Source organism: Homo sapiens, chromosome 12 (genome assembly GCF_000001405.40).
Source record: "Homo sapiens chromosome 12, GRCh38.p14 Primary Assembly".
Classification (NCBI taxonomy): domain Eukaryota; kingdom Metazoa; phylum Chordata; class Mammalia; order Primates; family Hominidae; genus Homo; species Homo sapiens.
This window is the reverse complement of record NC_000012.12, coordinates 123,681,886-123,706,535: the sequence shown is the minus strand read 5'-3', so window position 1 is coordinate 123,706,535 and position 24,650 is coordinate 123,681,886. Positions and strand designations below refer to the sequence as shown.

The following is a 24,650-nucleotide window of genomic DNA, read 5'->3' as shown; positions in this document are numbered from 1 at the left end:
AGAAACTCCTAATAACCCCTCATGGGCCTGTCGCCCAGCAACATCTGCCAGTCTTGTTGTCAGTCTCACTCCTCTCCAGCCAGTGCATTGTATACAGGTGCTATCAAAGGTACCTTTGTTCATCACCTGTTTTTCTCAAACAATATAATAATAAAAGCAGCAGCTAGCCACTTATTGAGGGCTTTCCACGTTCGAGGCACAGAGATAACTTGCTTGCAACACACCATCTCATGTTATCCTCAGAAGAGTACTGCGGAGGTGGTAACTGCACTCCCATTTTCCCTTGCAGAGCCACCACTCTCCATTTCCAGTTCAGTGGAGCAGAAGGAATTGGCCCTAATCCAGAGGTGCACCCATCACCTGAGCCTAGCCAATAAGAGCTGTCCATTGCCCCAGTCATAGGGATTGGTTCAGAAAGGAGCACATGACCTAAACTGAACCAATAAAAGTCTGCCCAGATCTATTTTGAGAAAGAGGAGGGGCCGGGCACGGTGACTCATGCCTGTAATCCCAGCACTTTGGGAGGCTGAGGCAGGCAGATCACCTCAGGTTGGGAGTTCAAGACCAGCCTGACCAACATGGAGAAACCCCATCTCTACTAAAAATACAAAATTAGCCAGGCGAGGTGCCACATGCTTGTAACCTCAGCTACTTAGGAGGCTGAGGCAGGAGAATCGCTTGAACCCGGTTGGTGGAGGTTGCAGTGAGCCAAGATGGCACCACTGCACTCCAGCCTGGGCAACAAGAGCAAAACTCCGTCTCAAAAAAAAAAAAAAGAAAGAAAGAAAGGAAAGAGGAGGAAAGGGGCTTTCTCCCCACTGGACTTGCTGCAGTGACATAAGCCTGGATTGCTGGTGCTGATCTTTGCCATCTCTTGAGGAGAACCTCCCTGAGAATGAAGCCAACCCAAAGGAAGAGGAGCTGAGATACGAAAACAAAAAGATCCCTGACCACACTGGAACCATGAACCATGAACTAGCTGTATGTGGATTACTCTGAACTTGAACCAATAAACTCCCCTTTTTGCTTAAGTCAGTATGAACTGGGCGCCTGTCACTTAAAACCGATGGAGGCAGGCTGGGCGCGGTGGCTCATGCCTGTAATCCCAGCACTTTGGGAGGCCGAGGCGGGCGGATCATGAGGTCAGGAGATTGAGACCATCCTGGCCAACAGGGTGAAACCCTGTCTTTACTAAAAATACAAAAATTAGCTGGACATGGTGGCACGTGCCTGTAATCCCAGCTACTCGGGAGGCTGAAGCAGGAGAATCGCTTGAACTAGAGAGTTGGAGGTTGCAGTGAGTCAAGATATTGCCACTGCACTCCAGCCTGGAGACGGAGCAAGACTCTGTCTCAAAAAAAAAAAAAAAAAAAACTGATGGAGGCTTGATACATAAAGGTATTATCACCATATTACAGAGGAGGAAACTACAGCTCAGAAAGGTTAAGTAATTGGCCAGTGTCACACAGCTCCTAAGTAGGACAGCCATGATTTGAACCTATCTGCTGCCAAAGTCTCTAACCACAGACAATATTCTCTGATCAGATTATCAGTTACATCCATGGATTTCAAAATATACTTAGTACTAAGGGGCCCTTTATTCATCTTTGTACTCCCTAAAATAACTTGCAGACTCTCTTACATATGGCTTTATAAATACTTGTGAGAATAAGTCTCCATTATACACATAGTTCGTACATATTCCATATGTGCATATAAACATCTTGCTAATAATTGCAAGTTGTAAATAAACAATCAGTTTCTAAATAAACATTTCCCTATTGTTTGGGATGCTCTCAACTTTCCTGACTCTCTCTAAACTACGGTGATCCAAGATGTGATCATACCTTGTCTCTACACCGAGTATCTCCTGCTGAGTAATCCCTTCCACCGCGCCAGCATCCGAGATGAGGATGCGGATGCTCAGGTGAGCAGGAATATCCAGGCACATGCCGTTCACACTGCTAGCCAGCGGGTCTGCACCTGGATCAGGGGCATCTACACCTATAGAAATGTTAAGTTATACACTTTTCAAAGAATAATTTGATAAGTTTTCCTACAATGTCGTAATAACCAAAATGGGGAATAATATCAGGCAGGCATCACATTAATGAGGCTTTAGTCTCTTACAGGCTCTAGTTACTTGTCACTCCATAACTGTGTTATCCCTTAAAGTCTACAAGGCATAGGATGGCACTAATAAAAATTGTGTTTAAAATGTTTCCTTGTATGGGCCGGGTGCGGTGGCTAACGCCGTAATCCCAGCACTTTGGGAGGCTGAGGCGGGCAGATCACGAGGTCAAGAGATCGAGACCATTCTGGCCAACATGGTGAAACCCCATCTCTACTAAAAGTATAAAAATTAGCTGGGCGTGGTGGTGCTCGCCTGTAGTCCCAGTTACTTGGGAGGCTGAGGCAGGAGAATGGCGTGAACCTGGGAGGCGGAGCTTGCCGTGAGCCAAGATCACACCACTGCACTGCAGCCTGGCGACAGAGGGAGACTCTGTCTCAAAAAAAAAAAAAAAAAAAAAGTTTCCTTGTATGTTAGCCAGTCACTGGAACTTAAAAGCCCTGACCCACATATTAAAGCCATAAATCATGATTCAGTTTCCAAGCTCCCACTGAAATCTACCCAGCCTTTTAACAGAAACATATATAATTGCAGTGAAATGCCATCGTTATTCCATGCAGTCACAGTTCTAGTAAAAGCTGTGTAAGACATTTAAAATCCATACTAACAACTTTAGGCCAGGCACAGTGGCTCATGCCTATAATCCTAGCACTTTGGGAGGTCAAGGTAGAAGCACTGCTTGAGCCCAGGAGTTTGAGACCAGCCTGGGCAACATAGCAAAACCCTGTCTCCTCGAGAAAAATAAAATAGCCAGTCATGGTGGCACACACCTGTAGCACACACCAGCTACCCAGAAGGCTGAGGTGAGAGGATTGCTTCAGCCTGGGAAGTCAAGGCTGCAGTAAGCCGTGATGGCATGGCACCACTACATTCCAGCCTGGACAAAAGTGAGAACCTCATCTCAAAAAATAAAAATAAAAATCAGTCGGGCGTGGTGGCTCACGCCTGTAATCCCAACACTTTGGGAGGCTGAGGTGGGTGGATGACCTGAGGTCAGGAGTTCGAGACCAGCCTGGCCAACATGGTGAAACCCTGTCTCTACTAAAAATACAAAAATTGGCCAGGTATGGTGGCGCACACCTGTAATCCCAGCTACTTGGGAGGCTGAGGCAGGAGAATCACTTGAAACCTGGGAGGTGGAGGTTGCAGTGAGCCGAGATCATGCCACTGCACTCCAGCAACAAAGTGAGACTCCATCTCAAAAAAAAAATAATGATAATAATTGAAAAAAAAATAATAATAAAACAAAATCCACACTAACGACTTTAATTAGTATGTATTAGATAGGTAAGTAATTTCCTAATGTGTTACCATAGTATTAATACAATTGGAAGAGAATGAAATTGAATGAGAAATGAATTTGCATTCGTCTTGGAGAAAACCCAGCAAGGTCAATTGGAGGAAGTAGGGTAGGTTCTATGGCTCCTCTGAAGGGGGTTCTTTGCTCCTTCAGGGATTCCGAAGGTCAGTAACACTGTTTTATGTCTAATTTCCTTATACATGTGTCAACACCACTTCTCTTCTGCTTATTAACCAGGATCAAGGTTGCTTTTTGGCTCAGACATGAAATAAAAGCTAACCCCTTCCACCTTGAAGGCAACAAAATGTCATCACCACACTGATTTCGTACCTCATCAACCTGGGTTCTCCGTCTGGACATTTTCCCTACCGTTTATTTCCCAACTGCTGACTTTTCTCCAGCCCTCAGGGTCATTCCACAGCCTATCTAGCTGGCCTGGGTGGCAGAGCCCAGGGCTTGACAAGCTCGACCTCTGGGTTCCGTTTGCAAATGAGGATCTAGGTCTGGGCCCAGTGCCTTGAGCACCAGCTAGATGAGCAAACAGCAGCCTGAGTGCCCCGTGGGGGTGGAGTCCAACAGGACTCCCTCCCCAAGTCAGAGAGTGGTCTGGGGCACCTCAAGCTCACAGACATATCACATTATCCATGACCAAGAGGGGGAAGGGAGGGTCCTCATCACCATGACCCCAATCACAAGGAGTAGGCACAATACAGGTGTGTGTCTGTATGGGCCGTTGTGTGAATTCCAGCCTACTGAGCCTAGCTGACCTCAGAGGAGATGGAAAGGGTAGGGACAGGATCCAGAGGGCTGATCCCTACCCACCAGGCAGAGGAGAGGGGCAGAGCAGCATCTGCAGGGAGAGCTGGGCAGGGGCAAAGCAGATGCGCACACTCATTGGGCTCTTTCTGGTCCCAAAAGGCAATTCCATTAATTAGCTCAATAAAAAAAGCTTTCCATTCAAAGTATTTACAGACTCAAGGCTCCCCAAGAAACCGGGAAGTTACCTAACTTGCTACCAGGGAACAGAGGAAAGAGGTTGGAACCCCAGGTTTTCATTCTAGCTCTGCCAAAACTCACTGTGACCTTAGGCCTCTCCAACATAACCCGATGAGCTGGATCTCCATGACTCAAAGGATATTTTGGATTCAGAGGTGAAATCAGGCCTGATGAAGAAGCTTTAAAGTCTGGTTTACCTTTATTCCATGTACATGTGGTATATCTTTTTCCCTTTGTGTACGAGCTACTTGCCAATTCAACACTGCAAATACCTTTGGCCAGAGGCACTGAGCTGTCAAGTCTTTCTATCTGGCCCCCATGATCCCTGCTATTATTAGATCTGTTGCACCCTTTTTTTTTTTTTGTGAGACGGAGTCTTGCTCTGTCGCCCAGGCTGGAGTGCAGTGGCGCAATCTCGGCTCACAGCAAGCTCCGCCTCCCGGGTTCCTACCATTCTCCTGCCTCAGCCTCCCGAGTAGCTGGGACTACAGGCGCCCACCACCACGCCCGGCTAATTTTTTTTTTTTATTTTTAGTAGAGACGGGGTTTCACCTGTGTTAGGCAGGATGCTCTCGATCTCCTGACCTCGTGATCCACCCGCCTCGGCCTCCCAAAGTGCTGGGATTACAGATATGAGCCACCGTGCCCAGCCGATCTGTTGCACCTTAATTACTTTCTTTCCTGACAGCTTTATTGAGATATAATTCACATACTATACAATCCACCTACTTAAAGTGTGCAATTCGATGGTTTCTGGTATAGTCACAAAGCTGTGACTATCAGCAGATTCTATTTTAGAACATTTTATCACTCTGCGAAGAAATCCTTTACCCACGGCAGTCTCTCCCCATTTCCTCCCAACTCCTCCACCTCCGGCATCCACTAATCTGCTGTCTCTATACATTGCCCATTCTGGACATTGCATATAAATTGAGTCATACAATATGTGGTCTTTTGTGTCTGGCTTCTATCACAATATTTTCAATCACTTTATTTTCTTTTAAGTTAACAAAATTACCTTTATAAATTACAAAGTCAATTCTCAAATGCCTGTATTCCTGGCAATCAAAAACAGCAATGCAAACTGAAGTGCACTAACAATCTTCAAACCTTGCTTGGACTTTGTTTTAATGTATTTTATTTTATTTTGTTTTATTTTTAGAGTCAGGATCTTGCTCTGTCATCCAGGTTGGAGTGTGATGGTGTAATCAGAGCTCACTGTAGCCTCAAACTCCTAGGCTCCAGCGATCCTCTTTCCTCAGCATCCCAAGTAGCTGGGACTGCAGGGACATGCCACCACATTCGACTAATTTTTTAAATTTTTCATAGAGACAAGGTCTCACTATGTTGCCCAGGCTGGTCTTAAACTCCTGGCCTCGGCCTGGCACGGTGGCTAACGCCTATAATCCCAGCACTTTGGGAGGCCGAGGCAGGTGGATCACGGGGTCAGGAGTTCGAGACCAGCCTGGCCAACATGGTGAAACCCCGTCTCTATTTAAAAAATACAAAAATTAGCCAGGTGGTGGTGGGCGCCTGTAATCCCAGCTACTTGGGAGGCTAAGGCAGGAGAATCACCTGAACCTAGGAGGCAGAGGTTGCAGTGAGCCGAGATTGTGCCATTGCACTCCAGCATGGGTGACAAGAGCAAGACTCCGTCTCAAAAAAAACCAACCAAACAAACAAAAAAACTGGCCTCAAGCAATCCTCTTGCATTGACCTCCCAAAGTGCTGGGATTATAAGTGTGAGCCACTGCTCCCAGCCTAGACTTTCTTTCACAAAGACTGTTGTTGGCCAGGCGCAATGGCTCATGCCTGTAATCCCAACATGGTTGGGGTTTAAGAGGTTGGGGTGGGCAGATCACTTAAGCCCAGGAGTTAATGACCAGCCTGGGCAACATGGCGAAACCCATTTCTACAAATAATAAAAAAATTAGCCAGATGTGGTGGCGCACACCTGTGGTTCCAGCTACTTGGAAGGCTGAGGCGGGAGGATCCCTTGAGCCTGGGAGGATGAGGAGGCAATGAGCTGTGATTGCACCACTGCACTCCAGCCTGGGTGACAGAATGAAACCCTGTCTCAAAAAAACAAAAACAGAAAATCAAAAAAGTCATTGTGAATAAGAAGAAAAAGACATGCCAAGTTTCCTGCCTGGAGATCTAACCCCTGGGCAAACGTCCAGTTAAGCCGCAGTCAAGCCTCAGGAAGATGACCTACTGGGTTGGGCTCTAATGCTGCGACTACAGTTGGTAGTCACAGCAACCAAGTTACAGGCTTTATTGTACCCGGGTTTGACTTACGTATTATTTCGAGCCAGCCATCACTAAGATCAGCGTAATCGGAGTTGCCTCTCATTGCAACGTGAGTCGCTTGTATTAATGAATCAAGTCTTTCAACAGCATTCTCCCTGCAAGAGAGTAAGACATTTCTCAGCTCATGGCCAGCAGGTCTTGTCCTAAAGTCATTTCCAGTGAATGTCCGGGTTTCACTTCCGAGTGCCTAAATTAAAAACTGCCAGAGGAACTGGCATTAAAAACTGGCTGGGTGTCACCCATGGACTAGGTGTGTCTGATGGCCTTCCCAGGATGGACCCACACACCTGGGGGAGAACATACAGAAGCAATCTTTTACTTTAGACTTAAAATGTTAGTAACTTGGCCGGGTGCAGTGGCTCACACCTGTAATCCCAACCCTTTGGGAGGCTGAGGTGGGAGGATTGCTTGAGCTCAGGAGTTCAAGACCAGCCTGGGCAACAGGGCAAAACCCTGCCTCTACAAAAAATACAAAAATTAGCCAGGCATGGTGGTATGCACCTATAGTTCCAACTACTTGGGAGGCTGAGGTGGGAGGAGCGCATAAGCCTGGTGGGGTTAAGGCTACAGTGAGCTGAGATCGTACCACTGCACTCCAGCCTGGGTGACAGAGCAAGATCCTGTCTCAAAAAAAAAAAAAAAATGTTAGTAACTTAAGTTGGGAATCACATGGTTCACAAACTCTGCCGACTGTCACCAAACTTAGGAGGTAGTTAGAGCACACATCAAGTTAGCAGGATACATTCGTGGGCCAGAGTGATCCAACAGTAAAAGTAACCTATATATCTAGCTGGAATTTTGAGTCATAAAATTAAGTGAAGACTAAGAGTTGGAACGTAGCATTCCCTCCTTCCCAGTACTGTCACTGGAGGGTACAAATCTCATGAACTGCAGGAGAGGGACTCTGCCCATGGACTCAGGCCTCAAAACCTATAATCAGGAGCTGCTGCCAATAATTTATACCAGTTTTCCTTAACTTCTCAATGTTACCCCCATTTCTTCCTGCTTCCCAAAGAACTACACATCTTGGGATATGTAACAGATAAAACGTGTGTAAGAGTGCATGCAGGCCGGGCATAATGGTTCATGCTTGTAACCCCAGCACTTTGGGAGGCCAAGGCAGGAGGATCGTTTGAGCCCAGCAGTTTGAGAGCAGCCTGAGCAACACGGTGAAACCCCATCTCTACAAAAAATACGAAAAATCAGCCAGGCACACACCTGTACTCCAAGATACTCGGGAGGGTGAAGTGGGAGGATCACCTGAGCTCAAGAGGGTCAGGCTGCAACGAGCCGTGATCACACCACTGCGCTCCAGTCTGGGTGATGGAGTGAGACCTTGTCTCAAAAAACAAGCCAAAAAGAACGCATGCAATCAAAACCACAATGAGATACCACTTAGTATCTATTAGGATGGCTACTGTCAAAAAAAAAAACAAAAACAAAAAAACAAAAAACAAGGCTGGGCACAGTGGCTCACACCTGTAATCCCAGCACTTTAGGAGGCTGAGGAGGGCAGATCACCTGAGGTCAGGAGTTCAAGACCAGCCTGACTAACATGGAGAAACCCCATCTCTACTAAAAATACAAAATTAGCCAGGTGAGGTGGCACATGCCTGTAATCCCAGCTACTCAGGAGGCTGAGGCAGGAGAATCACTTGAACCTGGGAGGCAGAGGCTGCAGTGAGCTGAGATTATGCCATTGCACTCCAGCCTGGGCAACAAGAGTGAAACTCTGTCTCAAAACAAAAACAAAAACAAAAACAGAACATAGGCCAGCAGAGTGACTCATGCCTGTAATCCCAGCACTTTAGGAAGCCAAGGCAGGTGGAGGACCACCTGAGCCTGGGGAGGTTGGGGCTGCAGTAAGCCATGATTGCACCACTGCACCCGAGCCTGGGAAACACAGTGAGACCCTGTCTCAAAAAAAAAAAAAAAAAAGTTAATCACCCCAGTTACACTTTGCTCTGGCCTTTTTCATAGCTCTAGGAGTATAAGGTTCCAATGAGGCCAGGCGCGGTGGCTTACGCCTATAATCCCAGCACTTTGGGAGGCCAAGGTGGGCAAGGTCACTTGAGGTTAGGAGTTTGAGACCAACATTGTGAAACCCCATCTCTACTAAAAATACAAAAAAAATCAGCAGGCGTGGTGGTGCATGCCTGTAATCCCAGCTGCTAGGGAGGCTAAGGCAGGAGAATTGCTTGAACCGGAGAGGCAGAAGCTGCAATGAGCCGAGATCGCACCACTGCACTCCAGCCTAGGTGACAAAGTGAGACTTCATCTCAACAAAAAAAACCACACAACAACAACAAAAAAGGTTCCAATGAGCTGAACAAACTTTGGCAGAGACATTTGTTTAAATGTGGATGAAATTTGCTTAAATGTGGATGAACTGGCTTTAGTCCCAAGAAAAAGTTTATTTTCCCTCATATTGATGTTTGAATCAACTCTAAATTGTATTACATGTCTGTATTTATTATCACTTTTACACATTTTAATTGACTCTAATTTTTCATATTCATGCTGTCTTTGATATTCATGTAGTGAATTAATTCTAGGCAAACCATTCACATTGCCGATATATTCATCAATGAAACACTCACCTGAGCTGAGTACAATTTTCATTAATCCCGACTTCTAACAGGCATCCAGAGAGTACATTTTCTCCAAATAAAATGGGTTTGAAAGTTGCTGATGTACACAGACCCCTTCCAGCTATAAAAGAAAAAGATTATCCTCTTGCTACTTTTTGCTAAACAAAAGTAAAGATTAACTTCAGTTTTCCGTGAAAAACAGAAAACAGTAAGTAGAAATAAAGTTGCCAGTTTTCAAAAACTGAGATCACTGTTAGTCTAATCCTTTCAAAGCTGAACAAAGGTGCCTTTATCAGACTTCTCAGATCCTGAGCGGTGGTTTCTTCAGAAGTGACACTGCCTCTGGCAGGTGTGCGTAATTACCACTGAAGCACAGATTTCCTGCAGTTCAGAACGAAGTTATTTTCATGTCTCCAATTAGCACCATCCTGGGCTACAGGCAACAATAACATGGGACTCTCAAGCCAATCTCATATTTCAATCTTTTCTACTAGCAACCAGCACTTCAGGTGCAAACAATGTTAGCATTCCTTTTTAAAAAGCTGTAGAAGCAGGAAAAACCATCATCACTGTTATTCAGCAGCATGTACCTCTCTGCTAAATAAACCAACTAGGCTTTAAAATAATTGATTGCTTGATTAGATTCAAAATATGGTAATACTTCTAACACCAATTTGCCAAAGGGCTAATCATAATGACCAAACCGGATTACCCGATTGCCAAAGATGTAAAGTCGTGACATTATTCATCCTGTTGATATTTAGAGCTCGGACAGGCTTGCCAAGTTGGTAACCTAGACAAACACAACAAAGGAACGTGAGCCTGTTTCCTCCAGCATAGCAAGCCCTAACTCTGCAAATAATACAAGAGTCATGCACAAGGAAAGAAAACACATAGGCGAAGCTTTCGAAAATACCCTTGAGAGAAAGATGGCAACTTCGGGTCTCAAAAAAAACAGTAGCTAAAGAGAAAGAATGCTTCACATTTACAGCAACTTGTTACTATGTACAACAGACTATGTAAAAAAAAAAAATACATTGTTATCACAAAAAGAATACCATGTCGGCCAGGCGTAGTGGCTCACGCCTGTAATCCTAGCACTTTGGGAGGCCGAGGTGGGTGGATCACCTGAGGTCAGGAGTTCGAGACCAGTATGGCCAATATGGCAAAACCTCATCTCTACTAAAAGTACAAAAATTTGCTGAGGGTGTTGGTGGGCACCTGTAATCCCAGCTACTTGGGAGGCTGAGGCAGGAGAATTGCTTGAACCTGGAAGGTGGAGGTTGCAGTGAGCCCAAATCGTGCCATTGCACTCCAGCCTGGGTGACAAGAGTTAAACTCCGTCTCAAAAAAAAAAAAAATGAATACAGTGCCACAACAGAGAATAAAGAGGCTGGGGCAGTGGCTCATGCCTGTAATCACAACACTTTGGGAGGCTAAGGCCAGGGGATCACTTGAGGTCAGGAATTCAAGACCAGCCTGGCCAACACGGTGAACAACAGCCTATCTCTACTAAAAATATAAAAATTATATTAAAGTGAGCAACCCTGCAAGCCTCTCTTTGGAGAAGTAGCAGATGAATAAAACTTCCTGTGTTGTGTGATTAAAAAAAAAAAAAAAAAGCCAGGCATGGTGGTGTGCACCTGTAATCCCAGCTACTCAGGAGGCTGAGGCAAGAAAATCTCTTGAACCCAGGAGGTGCAGGTTGCAGTGAGCCGAGATTGCGCCACTGCACTCCAGACTAGGCAACAGAGCAAGACTCCGTCTCAAAAAAAGAAAAAGAGAAAATAAAGAAAAAGGTCAGAGTCAGAAACTAAATTGGAGAGAGTTACTTATAACCATCCTGATGGCTGGGAGTGTTGAACTAAAGTATGTTTGTAAGATCAATGACTGGCATATACTCATCTTACCTGGATTTCCAGATAATTCTTCTTCATTACCACTATTATAGCTTAAAAATTTTACTACAAATCTCTGTGTCATTATCCCTAGAAATAAAACAAAATAAAATATAATGTGCACCATTTCACTAGGAAAAGAAATTATTCTCCATAGTGTTTACCTTAAAATTGCATTTTGTCATACAAAGTGTACTCTCGTTAATTAAATCATAAATGCACATAAGAAACAAGTCCAACTTAGTTTTATGGGTTATAATTATGAGAATCTTGAAAAGAGGAAAAAAAAATACTTTTCAGTGAAAGCATGCTTGCTACCCTCATCAAAGTTACCTTTCTGGTGGGCATTAATCTCTGCCCTAAAAATTTTAACATTTATTTCACTGATGGTATTATTATTCCATTTGAAAATATAATGTTCTTCCACATTCACAATTCTAGGGGTTGATCCGTTATTTAAAGGAGTTTCTGCAAATACAAGAATATGTTCATAAATTAAAGACCCTCTTTGAGCCTGACTCTGTTACTGGGAGGTTCTCTCTGCTTGCGTGGCCTTCCCCAAGTGCCCTGCCCCTGCCCTCCCTATCTCCAGCTCCCTAACATGGCACGGTCACTGCTTCCTTGAGGAAGCCTGCCCTGGTCCCACCAAGTCAGCATTAGCTGCCTCCTCTATGCCATCACAGTACCCAGAATGAGATCTGTTCCTTTCATTTCTATATCTCCAGCACCTGGCTCATAGCTTGCCATGGAGCATGCACTTGGTAAAATGTTTGTGAGATGAAAGACCAGAGGGTCAGTTCCGCCAGGGCAGGGGCCCGCTATCTAGTTCCCTACTACGGCGTAGGAACTCCACTAACATTTGATGAGCCAATGAATAAATTTGAGAAGTACAACACATCAGAAAGAGACACCCAGCACTTGGGGAGGCCGAGGTGGGCAGATCACCTGAGGTCAAGAGTTCGAGACCAGCCTGGCCAGCATGGCGAAACCCTGTCTCTACTAAAAATACAAAAATTAGGCCGGGTGCGGTGGCTCACGCCTGTAATCCCAGCACTTTGGGAGGCTGAGGCAGGCAGATCACGAGGTCAGGAGTTCAAGACCAGCCTGGCCAACACAGTGAAACCCCCTCTCTACTAACAATACAAAAAATCAGCCAGGCATGGGGGCAGGCACCTGTAATCCCAGCTACTCGGGAGGCTGAGGCAGAAGAATCGTTTGAACCCAGGAGGCAGAGGTTGCAGTGAGTGGAGACTGTGTCACTACACTCCAGTCTGGGTGACAGTGAGACTGTCTCAAAAAAAAAAAAATACAAAAAAATACAAAAATTAGCCGGGATTGGTGGCAGGTGCCTGTAATCCCAGCTACTCAGGAGGCTAAGGCATGAGAATTGCTTGAACCTGGGAGGTGGAGGGTACAGTGAGCTGAGATCACCCTATTGCACTCCAGCCTGGGCGACAGAGCAAGACTCTGTCTCCAATTAAAAAAAAAAAAGAAAAGAAAGAAACAAACAGTATCCTTCATTAAAAACTAAAGTTCTGGTAAAATTAGCCAAACTGAGCCAGTCGCCGTGGCTCACGCCTGTAACCCCTGCACTTTGGGAGGCCAAGGCAGGTGGATCACCTGAGGTCAGGAGTTCGAAACCAGCCTGGCCAACATGGTGAAACCCCGTCTCTACTAAAATACAAAAATTAGCCAGGCATATGGTGGTGAACACCTGTAATCCCAGCTACTTGGGAGACTGAGGCAGGAGAACTGCTTGAACCCAGGAAGTGGAGGTTATAGTGAGCCAAGATTACACCACTGCACTCCAGCCTGGGTGACAGAGCAAGAATCCATCTCAAAAAAAAAAAAAAAATCTGCCAAACTCTACGTAACTTATTTGGCTGCATCACAATTGGAAAGTTTAATTATCAAAAAAAAAAAAAAAAAAAAAGGAAAGAAAGCAAAAAGTGAAAATGCTGTGCCCTAAAAAGTTCTTTTAACTGGTCGGGCGCGGTGGCTCACACCTATAATCCCAGCACTTTGGGAGGCCAAGGCAAGTGGATCACCTGAGGTCGGGAGTTCGAGACCAGCCTGACCAACAGGGAGAAACCCCGTCTCTACTAAAAATACAAAATTAGCTGGGTGTGGTGGCGGGTGACTATAATCCCAGCTACTCAGGGGGCTGAGGCAGGAGAATCACTTGAACTCAGGAGGCGGAGGTTGCAGTGAGCCGAGATCATGCCATTGCACTCCAGCCTGGGTGACAAGAACAAAACTCCGCCTCAAAAAAAAAAAAAAAAAAAAAAAAAGAATTATTTAACTATCAAACATTTAAGGAAAGGTTCACGGAAGCTGGAACTAGAAGGGTCGGTGGAACTCAGAGAATCCAGGACTGTGGAGGAGCAGGCTCAAGGTCACAGAGAGCACTCTAAAGCCCAGCAGGACAGAACGAGGAACAAATGAAATGTTCCTGGCAGATCTTTCTAACTATTGTGAACCTTTTTAAATGACTAACAAAAATATACACTCTGAGGGTATATATTACTTGTAAGAAATGACATATCTGTTTCTGAAGAAATGACGTCAAAGTGTAACATTAAATACCTGTATTGGTGATGAATTTGTCTAGGTCAGTTGCTTCCTCATAGATCACTTTTGGTGTAACTATGCCTAAAGAGATAACATAAATTAACTTCCACAGGCGTACACATGGCCTACCATGATCACACTTACTCAAAGTATAGCTTACAAAGCAAATATGGTGACCGCAACTGCCCAGGGTGCTGACTACAAAACCCTCCCCACTCCCCAAAAACCATCAGATAGGAGTCCCCATCCTCTTAGCATCTAATTATAACGGAGGAAGAAAATCCACAACAAACACACAAACAAACAAAAACCAGGGTCACTGTGACATAAAAACAAATATGCAGTTCACTGCTGGTGGCAATACAAAATGGTGCAGACACTGTAGAAAACAATTGGCCAGGCGCAGGGGCTCACGCCTATAATCCCAGCACTTTGGGAGGCCGAGGCAGGCAGATTGCCTGAGGTCAGTTTGAGACCAGTCTGGCCAACATGGTGAAACCTCCTCTCTACTAAAAATACAAAAAAATTAGCCGGGCGTGGTGGCTCATGCCCGTAATCCCAGCACTCTGGGAGGCCGAGGTGGGTGGATCACCTGAGGTCAGGAGTTCGAGATCTGCCTGGCCAACATGGTGAAATCCCATCTCTACTAAACTTCGTCTCTACTAAAAATACAAAAATTAGCAGGGCGTGGTGGTGGGTGCCTGTAATCCCAGCTACTCGGGAGGCTGAGGCAGGAGAATCGCTTGAACCCAGGAGGTGGAGGTTGCCGTGAGCCGAGATCGCGCCATCGCACTCCAGCCTGGCGGACAAGAGCAAGACTTGGTCTCAAAAAAAAAAAAATTAGCCAGGTGTGGTGGCACATGCCTGTAATCTCAGCTACTTGGGAGGCTGAGGCAGGGGAATCGCTTGAACCAGGGAGGTGGAGGTTGCAGCGAGCCGAGATCACGTCACTGCACTCCAGCCTGGGTGACAGAGCAAGACTCCCTCTCAAAAAAAAAACCAAAAAAACAAAAAAAAAACAATTTGGTGGGTCCTCAAGAAGTCATATTAGCATGACCTGTCAGTTCCACTCCTAGGTGTCTACCCAAAAGAAATAAAAACACACATCTACGCAAAAACTTGGACACGAGTGTTCATGGCAGCACTATTCACAACAGTCAGAGATGAAAACAACCCACATGTCCATCAACTGAGGAATGGACAAACACAATGTGCTCTGTCCATGCAATGGACTATGATTCAGCCATAAAAAGGAATGAAGTGCTGCCACACACTACAAACACGGATGAACCATGGAACACCATGCTCAGTGAAAGAAGCCAGACACAAAAGGCCACATAGTGTATGATTCTGTTTCTAGGGAACACCCAGAATAAGCAATCCACGGAGACAGAAAGCAGATTGGTGGCTGCCAGGAGCTGAGGGAAGAGGGGTAGGGAGTGACTGCTAATGGGTACAGATGCCCTTCTGAGGCGATGAAACGTTCTGGAACTAGAGAGAGGTGATGGTGGCACAACAGTGTGGAAGGTACTAATGTCAATGAATTGTACACTTTAAAAGGGTTAATTCTGGTGGGACGCGATGGCTTACACCTGTAATCCCAGCACTTTGGGAGGCCTAGGAGAGTGGATCACCTGAGGTCAGGAGTTCAAGGTCAACCTGGCCAACACAGTGAAACCCCATCTTTACCAAAAACACAAAAATTAGCCAGTCATGGTGGCAGGCACCTGTAGTCCCAGCTACTCGGGAAGCTGAGGCAGGAGAATCGCTTGAACTTAGGAGGCAGAGGGTACAGTGAGCCGAGATCACGCCACTGCACTCCAACCTGCGTGACGGAGAAACAAACAAAAAGGCTAAATTTATGTTATTTGAATTTTACTTCAATTTCAAAATAATTAATATGCAATATGCTGTCTTACGGAACTAAACTTTTTCCAAAGAAAATAATTGGCAGTTCAAATATTATTTGAAGTTGAACCAGTAGAAATGATTTATACTCTCATGAGATCATACTTTATATTCATGTTTGGGCCTGTGTTCTTTTTTCAAAGAAATGTAACATACCTCCTAAGGCAACATTCTTTATCTTCGCATTGATAATACCATCTCGTTCTTGGTATAGTTCCAAATTAGTAACGCATTTAACATCAAAATTGTGAAGAAATGCCACTGGGGCGTTCTGCATACACTGCCCAGCCAGGGACACCTGAGGGAGAAGGGCAAAGCCAACAGATTTATGGCCTCTCTCCTAATCATACAAAACAGATCAGCATCCCTTAAAACTGGTCTTTCTGCAGCCTGCTCCCATTGCTGGTCTGGTTTCAGCAACGGCAAGTTCACCGACTAGTTGACCCGCTTTAGCAAAACATCTAACTGATTTGCCCATCAAGGTCTGGAAGCCACTGGTTGTGGAGTCACAGTAAATATTGTCTAATAAAAACAAAGAAAATCCCTTGTCCTGTTCTATTTAGTTTGCAGAGACATGACTATATTTAACTTCATGTTCTCTCCCTCATCACAACCAGAGTTTAATACCATAAAAATGGATTCATATGAATAGGAAAGAGAAATTTTCACCTCCCATGCTTTCTTCCCACAAATAACACTCCTCATAATGTTGAACTTAAAAAAAGATTTCAGGTTGGGAGCAGTGGCTCACACCTGTAATCCCATCATTTTGGAAGGCTGTAGTGGGAGAATCATTTGAGCCCAGGAGTTCAAGACCAACCTGGGCAACATAGCAAGACCCTGTCTCTACAAAAAGTAAAAAATTAACCGGGTATAATGGCATGCACCTATAGTCCCAGCTACTTGGGAGGCTGAGGTGGGAGGATTGCTTGAGCCCATGAGATGGAGGCTGCAGTGAGCTGTGACTACACTCACTACACTCCAGCCTGGGCGACAGAGCAAGACCCTGTCATTCATTCACTTGTGCATTCATATATAGATATACAAATGATTCCATATACAACCTTACAGCCTTAAAATATTTTTCAAAATTCTAGAATGGTAAATAAAATGATGTATTTATCTAACCATTGTTTTTTATACCGGACCCTACTTGAGGGTAGTGAGTAGGAGGAGGGAGAGGATCAGAAAAAAACTATTGGGTACTTGGCTTAGTACCTGGGTGACAAATAATCTGTACAACAAAACCCCATGACACAAGTTTACCTATATAACAAACCTGCTCATGTAGCCCTGAACCTAAAATAAAAATATAAAAAGAAAAAGAAGCAAAGAATGATAGTTACTGCTAGCCAGGCATCAAGGCTCACACTGTAATCCCAACACTTTGGCCAAGGCAGAAGAATTTCGAGGCCAGGAGTTTAAGACCCGCCTGGGCAACATAGTGAAACCCCCATCTCTACAGAAAAATTTTTGGCTGGGCGCGGTGGCTCAAGCCTGTAATCCCAGCACATTGGGAGGCCAAAGTGGGCAGGTCACTTCAGCCCAGAAGTTAAAAAGACCAGCCTGGGCAACATGGCAAAACCCCACCTCTACAAAAAATTAGCCAGGAATGGTGGCATGTGCCTGTAGTCTCAGCTACTTGGGAAGCTGAGGTAGGAGGATCACTTGAATGTGGGAGGTCAGGGCTGCAGGGAGTTGAGATCACGCCAGTGCACTCCACCCTAGGTGACAGAGCAAGACTATGTCTCAAACCAAAACAAATTTTTTTAATTTAAAAAAAAAAAAGACTCATGCCTGTAATCCCAGCACTTTGGGAGGCTGAGGCAGGCAGATCACCTGAGGTCAGGAATTCGAGACCAGCCTGACCAACATGGAGAAACCCCGTCTCTACTAAAAATACAAAATTAGCTGGGCGTGGTGGTGCATGCCTGTAATCCCAGCTACTTGGGAAAGCTGAGGCAGGAGAATCGCTTGAACCCGGGAGGCAGAGGTTGCGGTGAGCTGAGATTGTGCCATTACACTCCAGCCTGGGCAAAAACAGCGAAACTCTGTCTCAAAAAAAAAGAAAAAGAATGATAGGTACTTCCATGGAAACTTATAGAAAATCTTTTGGTTTTATTTTGTAAGTTCACTCTGAGTTTTAAGCAAAGACAGTGATTAAGAGTGACTATATATTTTATTAATTTGGAGAACATAAACAGTTAAGTCCCTGAAAGGTAGAAAGGAGGAAAGTAAGTAACTTAAAAAGAGATTTTAAAGAGAAATATGACTTAAATTAACAATAGGACAGGAAAAATAAAAGAAGGGTCTAGTGGCCAGGCATGGTGGCTCATGCCTGTAATCCCAGCACTTTGGGAGGCTGAGGCACTAGGATCACAGGGTCAAGAGATCGAGATCATCCAGGTCAACATGGTGAAACCCCGTCTGTACTAAAAATACAAAAAATTGGCTGGGTGCGGTGGCACACACCTGTAGTCCCAGCTACTGGGGAGGCTGAGGCAGGAGAATCACTTGAACCCGGGAGGCAGAGGTTGCAGTGAGCCGAGATCTGGCACTGCACTTGAGCCTAGGAGGTAAGAGCGAGACTCCGTCTCATAAAAAAAAAAAAAAAAAAGAGAACGGTCTAGCATACTAATATTGCAACGATTACCTGCGGAATAGTAAAATATGCCTTCTTTACAGTCATAATGGGATCTCCTTGTTTGTAACCAAAGTCTGCAAAGTCTTTTGCGTCAGTATCCACATATACTTCAAAGGAAGAGTCCTGTTTGGGGGAACTGAAAATCAATAAGAAAGGCTGAATAGTTTCAGTTATCTGCTAAAACACAATTCTTCCTTAATGTTGTTCTTTACTCTTGTTTTCTGAGATGGAGTCTCACTCTGTCACCCAGGCTGGAGTGCAGTGGCGTGATCTTTGTTCACTGCTACCTCCGCCTCCCAGGTTCAAGCAATTCTTGTGCCTCAGTCTCCCGAGTAAGCTGGGATTACAGGTGCCCACCACCACACCTGGCTAATTTTTTGTATTTTTAGTAAAGATGGGGTTTCACCACGTACCCAGGCTCGTCTTGAACTCCCAACCTCAGGTGATCACCCTGCCTCAGCATCCCAAAGTGCTGGGATTACAGACGTGACCCACTGCACCCAGCCTCTTTACTTTGTTTTGTTTTGTTTGTTTTGGGCCAGAGTCTCGCTCTGTCGCCCAGGCTGGAGTGCAGTGGCGCGATCTCAGCTCAAGCTCCGCCGCCCGGGTTCAGGCCATTCTCCTGCCTCAGCCTCCCTAGTAGCTGGGACTACAGGCACGTGCCACCACGCCTGGCTAATTTTTTGTATTTTTAGTAGAGACAGGGTTTCACTGTGTTAGCCAGGATGGTCTCGATCTCCTGACCTCATGATCTGCCCGCCTCGGCCTCCCAAAGTGCTGGGATTACAGGCGTGAGCCACCGCTCCCGGCCTACTTTTTAATTACAAAAATCATAGATGTAAATTTTTAACAATCCCAAACTGTAAAATACAGAACATTAAAATCTCCCATGAGCCACCACTCCTTCACCTCCCCTAGAAAAGCACCATGAGCTGTTTTCAATGTCAATCAATTTCTTTTCAATGAGGCCCAATTCTTCCAAATAATGCAAAATAAATTGGCTAACTGAAATCTAGAATTGAACCCTTTAGGCACGGAACCTCTGGAGAGGGGTTGGGAAAAACGTGACCGCGTTGCAGGGCCTACTAGAGTATGGCCCCACCAGGGCGGGAGAACAATGCCCCATCCCAGGCGGCTGCTCAGACACTTACACAGCACCATGATAGAAGTAACCAAGGAAGGGTGTGTTGGCAAGGGGGGACTGCACACACAGAAAGGGAAACCAATCGGGGACACCACGTGTCGTCGTCCCAGCAGAGCAGAGCTGATCAAAAGGAGGATTGACGTCTCCTCCAAACACGCCGGTGAAGCAGGACCGTCTGAACAGCGTTGTTAAATTTGATGAGCATTCCTGGAAGACAAACATAAAGGCAGGAGCTGTGACCGTGGTCAGGATCTCCTGGCAAGCGTAGCGAATGCTAACTCTTATTTAAGGCCAGCAGGACACTACCAAGTAAGCAAGAAAACCTATAATCTGTGTCTCATCTAAAAGTGCCTTGTGCCCACAAAAAGTAAAATAGTTCTGGAATTTCTTTTGTCAATTCCCCAAATAAGCCTTCAAGTCAGAAACTCCAAGCATTCAGGGGAACCACAGTTTTACCAAGGACATGAGATATTCCCAGTAAAACAAAAGAAGAAAAGATAGTACAGAATAGATCTCAAATGAAGACAAAAACATAGTAAACCTCCTTTCTTAATTGTCATTACCATTCAAACCCTTAGCCCAGAAAAGCCTCCAGACATTTAGAGTGAGGGGAAACGTTCCATATTCCACAAGGATCCTCCAGGCCCTCACTAGATTATAACACGACCCAATTAATGTCATCAAGAAATTGCTTGGGGCTGGGTGCAGGGGCTCACGCCTGTAATCCCAACACTTTGGGAGGCCGAGGCAGGTGGATCACTTGAGGTCAGGAGTGTGAGACCAGACTGGCCAACATGGTGAAGCCCCATATTTACTAAAAATACAAAAATTAGCCGGGTGTGGTGGTGGGCACCTGTAATCCCAGCTACTCAGGAGGCTGAGCCATGAGAATTGCTTGAGCCCAGGAGGCAGAGGTTGCAGTGAGCCAAGATCACACACTGCACTCCATCCTGGGAAACACAGTGAGATTCTGTCTCAAAATAAATAAATAAATAAATAAATAAATTACTTGGACTGCACGCAGTGCATCATGCCTGAAATCCTAACATTTTGGGAGGCTGAGGTGGAATGAATGTTTGAGCCCAGAAGTTTGAGACCAGCCTAGGCAACATAGAGAGACTCAGCCCCGACAAAATTAAAAAAAAAAAAAAATTAGCCAGGCATGGTGGTGGACATCTGTGATCCCAGCTACTCAGGAGGTTGAGGAAAGGACTGCTTGAGTCCAGGAGGCTGAGGCTGCAGTGAGCCATGATTGGGCCACTGAAGTCCAGCCTGGGCAACAGAACAAGACCCTGCTTCTTAAAAAAAAAAAAAAAAAAAAAAAGACCGGGCGCAGTGGCTCACACCTGTAATCCCAGCACTTTGGGAGGCTGAGGCACGCGGATCACCTAAGGTCAGGAGTTCAAAACCAGCCTGGCCAACATGGTGAAACCCCATCTCTACTAAAAATAAAAAAATTAGCCAGGCGTGGTGGCACACACCTATAATCCCAGCTATTTGGGAGGCTGAGGCAGGAGACTCACTTGAACCCAGGAGGCAGAGGTTGCAGTGAGCAGAGATCACACCACTGCACTCCAGCCTGGGTGACAGAACAAGACTCCGTCTCGAAAAAAGAAGTTACTTGATTCAGATATTCATCTGTATTTTTCCTTGTTTCACGAAGGATCCAGAGAGCTGTAAGTTAAATTACGTCCTGAATCTTTGTTTATTGACAGTAGAGAAGTGATCTCTCATTTGAAACGAGAGCAATTCAAATTAAAAATTGATTGTTTATAAAGTGCTGCTGCATTGTGGTTATCTGAAGATGTCACTGATCCAGAATACTAAAGGACGTCAGGGGCTGGTACTGTAGCACACAGCACAACACATGCAAAAGGGAGTCCGACATGGGACACAGCGTGGCCTGGAAGGAAGAGAAGGAGGGGCCATTTGACAATTCTAATGATACCTGAGCCAAATGTATGATGTACTTTACTCTTTTTTTTTTTTTTTTGAGATGGAGTCTCGCTCTGTCACCCAGGCTGGAGTGCAGTGGCGCGATCTCAGCTCACTGCAACCTCTTCCTCTTGGGTTCAAGCGATTCTCCTGCCTCAGCCTCCTGAGTAGCTGGGACTACAGGCACCCACCAACATACCCCGCTAATTTTTACATGTTTAGAAGAGACGGGGTTTCACCATGTTGGCCAGGATGTTCTCTATCTCCTGACCTCATGATCAACCCACCTCGGCCTCCCAAAGTGCTGGGATTACAGTGGTGAGCCACCGTGCCCGGCCGCTGTACTTTACTCTTTTAATTAAATTTAATTGTTCTTAGGATAATTTTTAGTGTAAAAATCACAATATTGGCCAGGTGTGGGGGCTCACGCCTATAATCCCAGCACTTTGGGAAGCCAAGGTGGGTAGATCACTTGCAGTCAGGAGTTCGAGGCCAGCCTGGTGAACATGGCAAAACTCGTCTCTACTGAAAATACAACAATTAGCCAGGTGTGGTTGTGCATGCCTGTAATCCCAGCTACTCAGCAAGCTGAGGCAGAAGAATTGCTTGAACCCGGGAGGCGGAGGTTGCAGCGGGCCGAGATCGCACCACTGTACTCCAGCCTGGGCGACGGATCAAGACTCTGTCTTAAAAAAAAAAAAAAAAAAAGAATGACAATATTAATGCAGACCCTAAACTTCCCTTTCCTGTTTAGTGAAACCAACCATGATAGGACACTTAAAAATTTGCTAAGAGGGTAGATCTTATGTTAAGTGCTTTCACCACAAAAGGAAACAAAACAAAACAACAACCAAAAAAACCAAAGGAAACCTTTGGAGGTGAGGGGAAAGCATATGGTATTGACTGCGTGGATGAGCTCATGGGTGTGTACTTATCTCCAAACACATATTCAAGGATACTTTGAATATCTGCAGCTTTTCTATGCCAATCATACGTCAGTGAAGCTGTTTTAAAAAAATAAGTTTGCATTTCCCAGTGGGGAAGTAAAAAACCAATGAAACATTAACTGTCCTCACCCAAATACGAGAGGGACTTGGGACTTGGGTACCAGTAAATTTCTTCTTTTGCAGTTCTCATTCCCCTTAAATTTAAATAAGAACAAAAATTGTGGCCAGGTGCAGTGGCTCACGCCTGTGATCCCAGCAATTTGGGAGGCTGAGGTGGGTGGATCACGAGGTCAGGAGATCAAGACCACCCTAGTTAATACGGTGAAACCCCATCTCTACAACAAAATACAAAAAATTAGCTGAGCATGGTGGCACGCGCCTGTAATCCCAACTACTTGGGAGGCTGAGGCAGGAGAATCGCTTGAACCTGGGAGACGGAGGTTGCAGTGAGCCAAGATCGTGCCACTGCACTCCAGCCTGGGCAACAGAGCGAGGCTCCGTCTCAAAAAAAATTTTAAATGTGCTTCAGTGCTTCTTCTTGATAGGTTAAAAAAGAAAGGTTAAAAATAAAAATAAGAAAAGGCCAGCCACGGTGACTCACACCTGTAATCCAGCACTTTGGGAAGTCAAGGTGGGCAGATCACTTGAGGCCAGGAGTTCAAGACCAGCCTGGCCAACACGGCAAAACTCCATCTCTACTAAAGACACAAAAAATTAGCTGGGCATGGTGGCTCACTCCTGTAATCCCATCGCTTTGGGAGGCCAAGGCGGGAGGAATGCTGAAGCCAGGAGGCAGAGGTTGCAGTGAGCGGAGATGGCACCACTGCTCTCCAGCCTGGGTGACAGAACAAGGCTCTGTCTCAAAATAATAATAAAAATAAATAAATAAATAGAATCAGAAAAAAAGGTTAATCAAAAATTATTATTATTATTTTTTTGAGATGGACTCTCACTCTGTCGCCCAGGCTGGAGTGCAGTGGTACGATCTTGGCTCACTGCAACCTCTGCCTCCTGGGTTCAAGTGATTCTCCCGCCTCAGCCGCCGGAATAGCTGGGACTACAGGCACCGGCCACCACGTCCAGCTAATTTTTGTATTTTAGTACAGATGGGGTTTCACCATGTTGGCCAGGTTGGTCTCGAACTCCTGACCTCAGGTGATCCACCCACCTCGGCTTCCCAAAGTTCTGGGATTATAGGCGTGAGCTACTGAGCCCGGCCAAAAAATTTTAAATGTGTATTTCGCCAGGATTAAACAATGGTTTCTGAAATATGACACCAGAAATACAAGCAACAGAAGAAAAAAATGAGATAAATTGGACTTCATCAAATTTTTAAATGTCTGTGCCTCAAAGGACAACAACAAGAAAGCAGACAACCTGGCTAGGCACAGTGGCTCACCCCTCTAATCCCAGCATTTTGGGAGGCTGAGGCGGGCGGATCACTTGTGGTCAGGAGTTCGAGACCAGCCTGGCCAACATGGTGAAACCCCATCTGCGCTAAAAATATAAAAATTAGCCAGGCGTGGTGGCACGCACCTGTAATCCCAGCTACTCAGGAGGCTGAGGCAGGAGAATCGCTTGAACCTGGGAGGCGGAGGCTGCAGTGAGCCGAGATCACACCATTGCCCTCCAGCCTAGGCAACAAGAGCGAAACTCCATCTCAAAAAATAAATAAAAAATAAATAAAACAAACAAAAAAAAGAAACTAGAATCCAGAATATATAGTGAACCCTCTTACAATTCAGCAAAAAGACAGCCCAATTTAAAACACGGGTGAAGGGTATAAACAGACATTTCTCCAAAAAAGATATACAAATATCCCATAAGCACATGAAAAGATCTTCTATATCATTTGCCACTAGAGAAATATAAATCAAAATCACAGTGAGGGCAGAGCATGGTGGCTCACGCCTATAATCCCTGCACTTTGGGAGGCTGAGGCCAGAGGATTGCTTGAGCCCAGGAATTGTAGACCAGCCTAGGCAACACAGCAAGACCCCACCTTCACAAAAAAACACAAAAATTAACTGTGTGTGGTGGTGTGCACCTGTGGTTCCAGCCACTTGGGAAGCTGAGGTGAGAGGATCACTTGAGTCTGGGAGATTGAGGCTGCAGTGAGCTGTGATTGCACCACTGCATTCTATCCTGGGCGACAGAGCAAGACCCTGTCTCAAAAATTTAAAGAAAAAAACAAAGAAGGAAATCATAAAGAAATATCAGTTCACACTTACTTAACATGGCTATAACCAAACAGACAAATAATAACAACTGTTGG

General features: G+C 45.3%; 1 protein-coding gene across 5 annotated transcripts in view, besides 1 other annotated feature; it reads right to left on the bottom strand.

Annotated features, from left to right (window-relative positions):
* TCTN2 (tectonic family member 2) overlaps nt 1-24,650 on the bottom strand; it is a 37,287-nt gene that overhangs the window by 1,864 nt on the left and 10,773 nt on the right. For 2 of the 5 annotated variants that reach the window (NM_024809.5, NM_001143850.3), the window contains exons 6-15: nt 19,501-19,700; nt 18,359-18,485; nt 15,862-16,003; nt 13,813-13,878; nt 11,560-11,694; nt 11,239-11,316; nt 10,041-10,121; nt 9,338-9,449; nt 6,726-6,832; nt 1,848-2,004 (exon numbers count right to left, since the gene is read on the bottom strand). In NM_024809.5, the coding sequence (NP_079085.2) occupies nt 1,848-2,004; nt 6,726-6,832; nt 9,338-9,449; nt 10,041-10,121; nt 11,239-11,316; nt 11,560-11,694; nt 13,813-13,878; nt 15,862-16,003; nt 18,359-18,485; nt 19,501-19,700 (1,205 nt within the window). Of the gene's footprint in view, nt 1-1,847; nt 2,005-6,725; nt 6,833-9,337; nt 9,450-10,040; nt 10,122-11,238; nt 11,317-11,559; nt 11,695-13,812; nt 13,879-15,861; nt 16,004-18,358; nt 18,486-19,500; nt 19,701-24,650 lie in introns of those variants that run through there. The other 3 variants (NM_001410989.1, XM_017019974.2, XM_047429553.1) reach the window with 2 other exon arrangements.
* Nucleotides 6,752-6,927: a silencer, noted in NCBI's record as "fragment chr12:124184156-124184331 (GRCh37/hg19 assembly coordinates)". NCBI's record gives its function as "represses an EF-1alpha promoter that drives an FKBP-Casp9 reporter gene in an ReSE screen in phorbol 12-myristate 13-acetate-treated (for megakaryocytic differentiation) K562 erythroleukemia cells {active_cell/tissue: K562(+PMA)}" and the evidence as "EXISTENCE:reporter gene assay evidence [ECO:0000049][PMID:32094911]".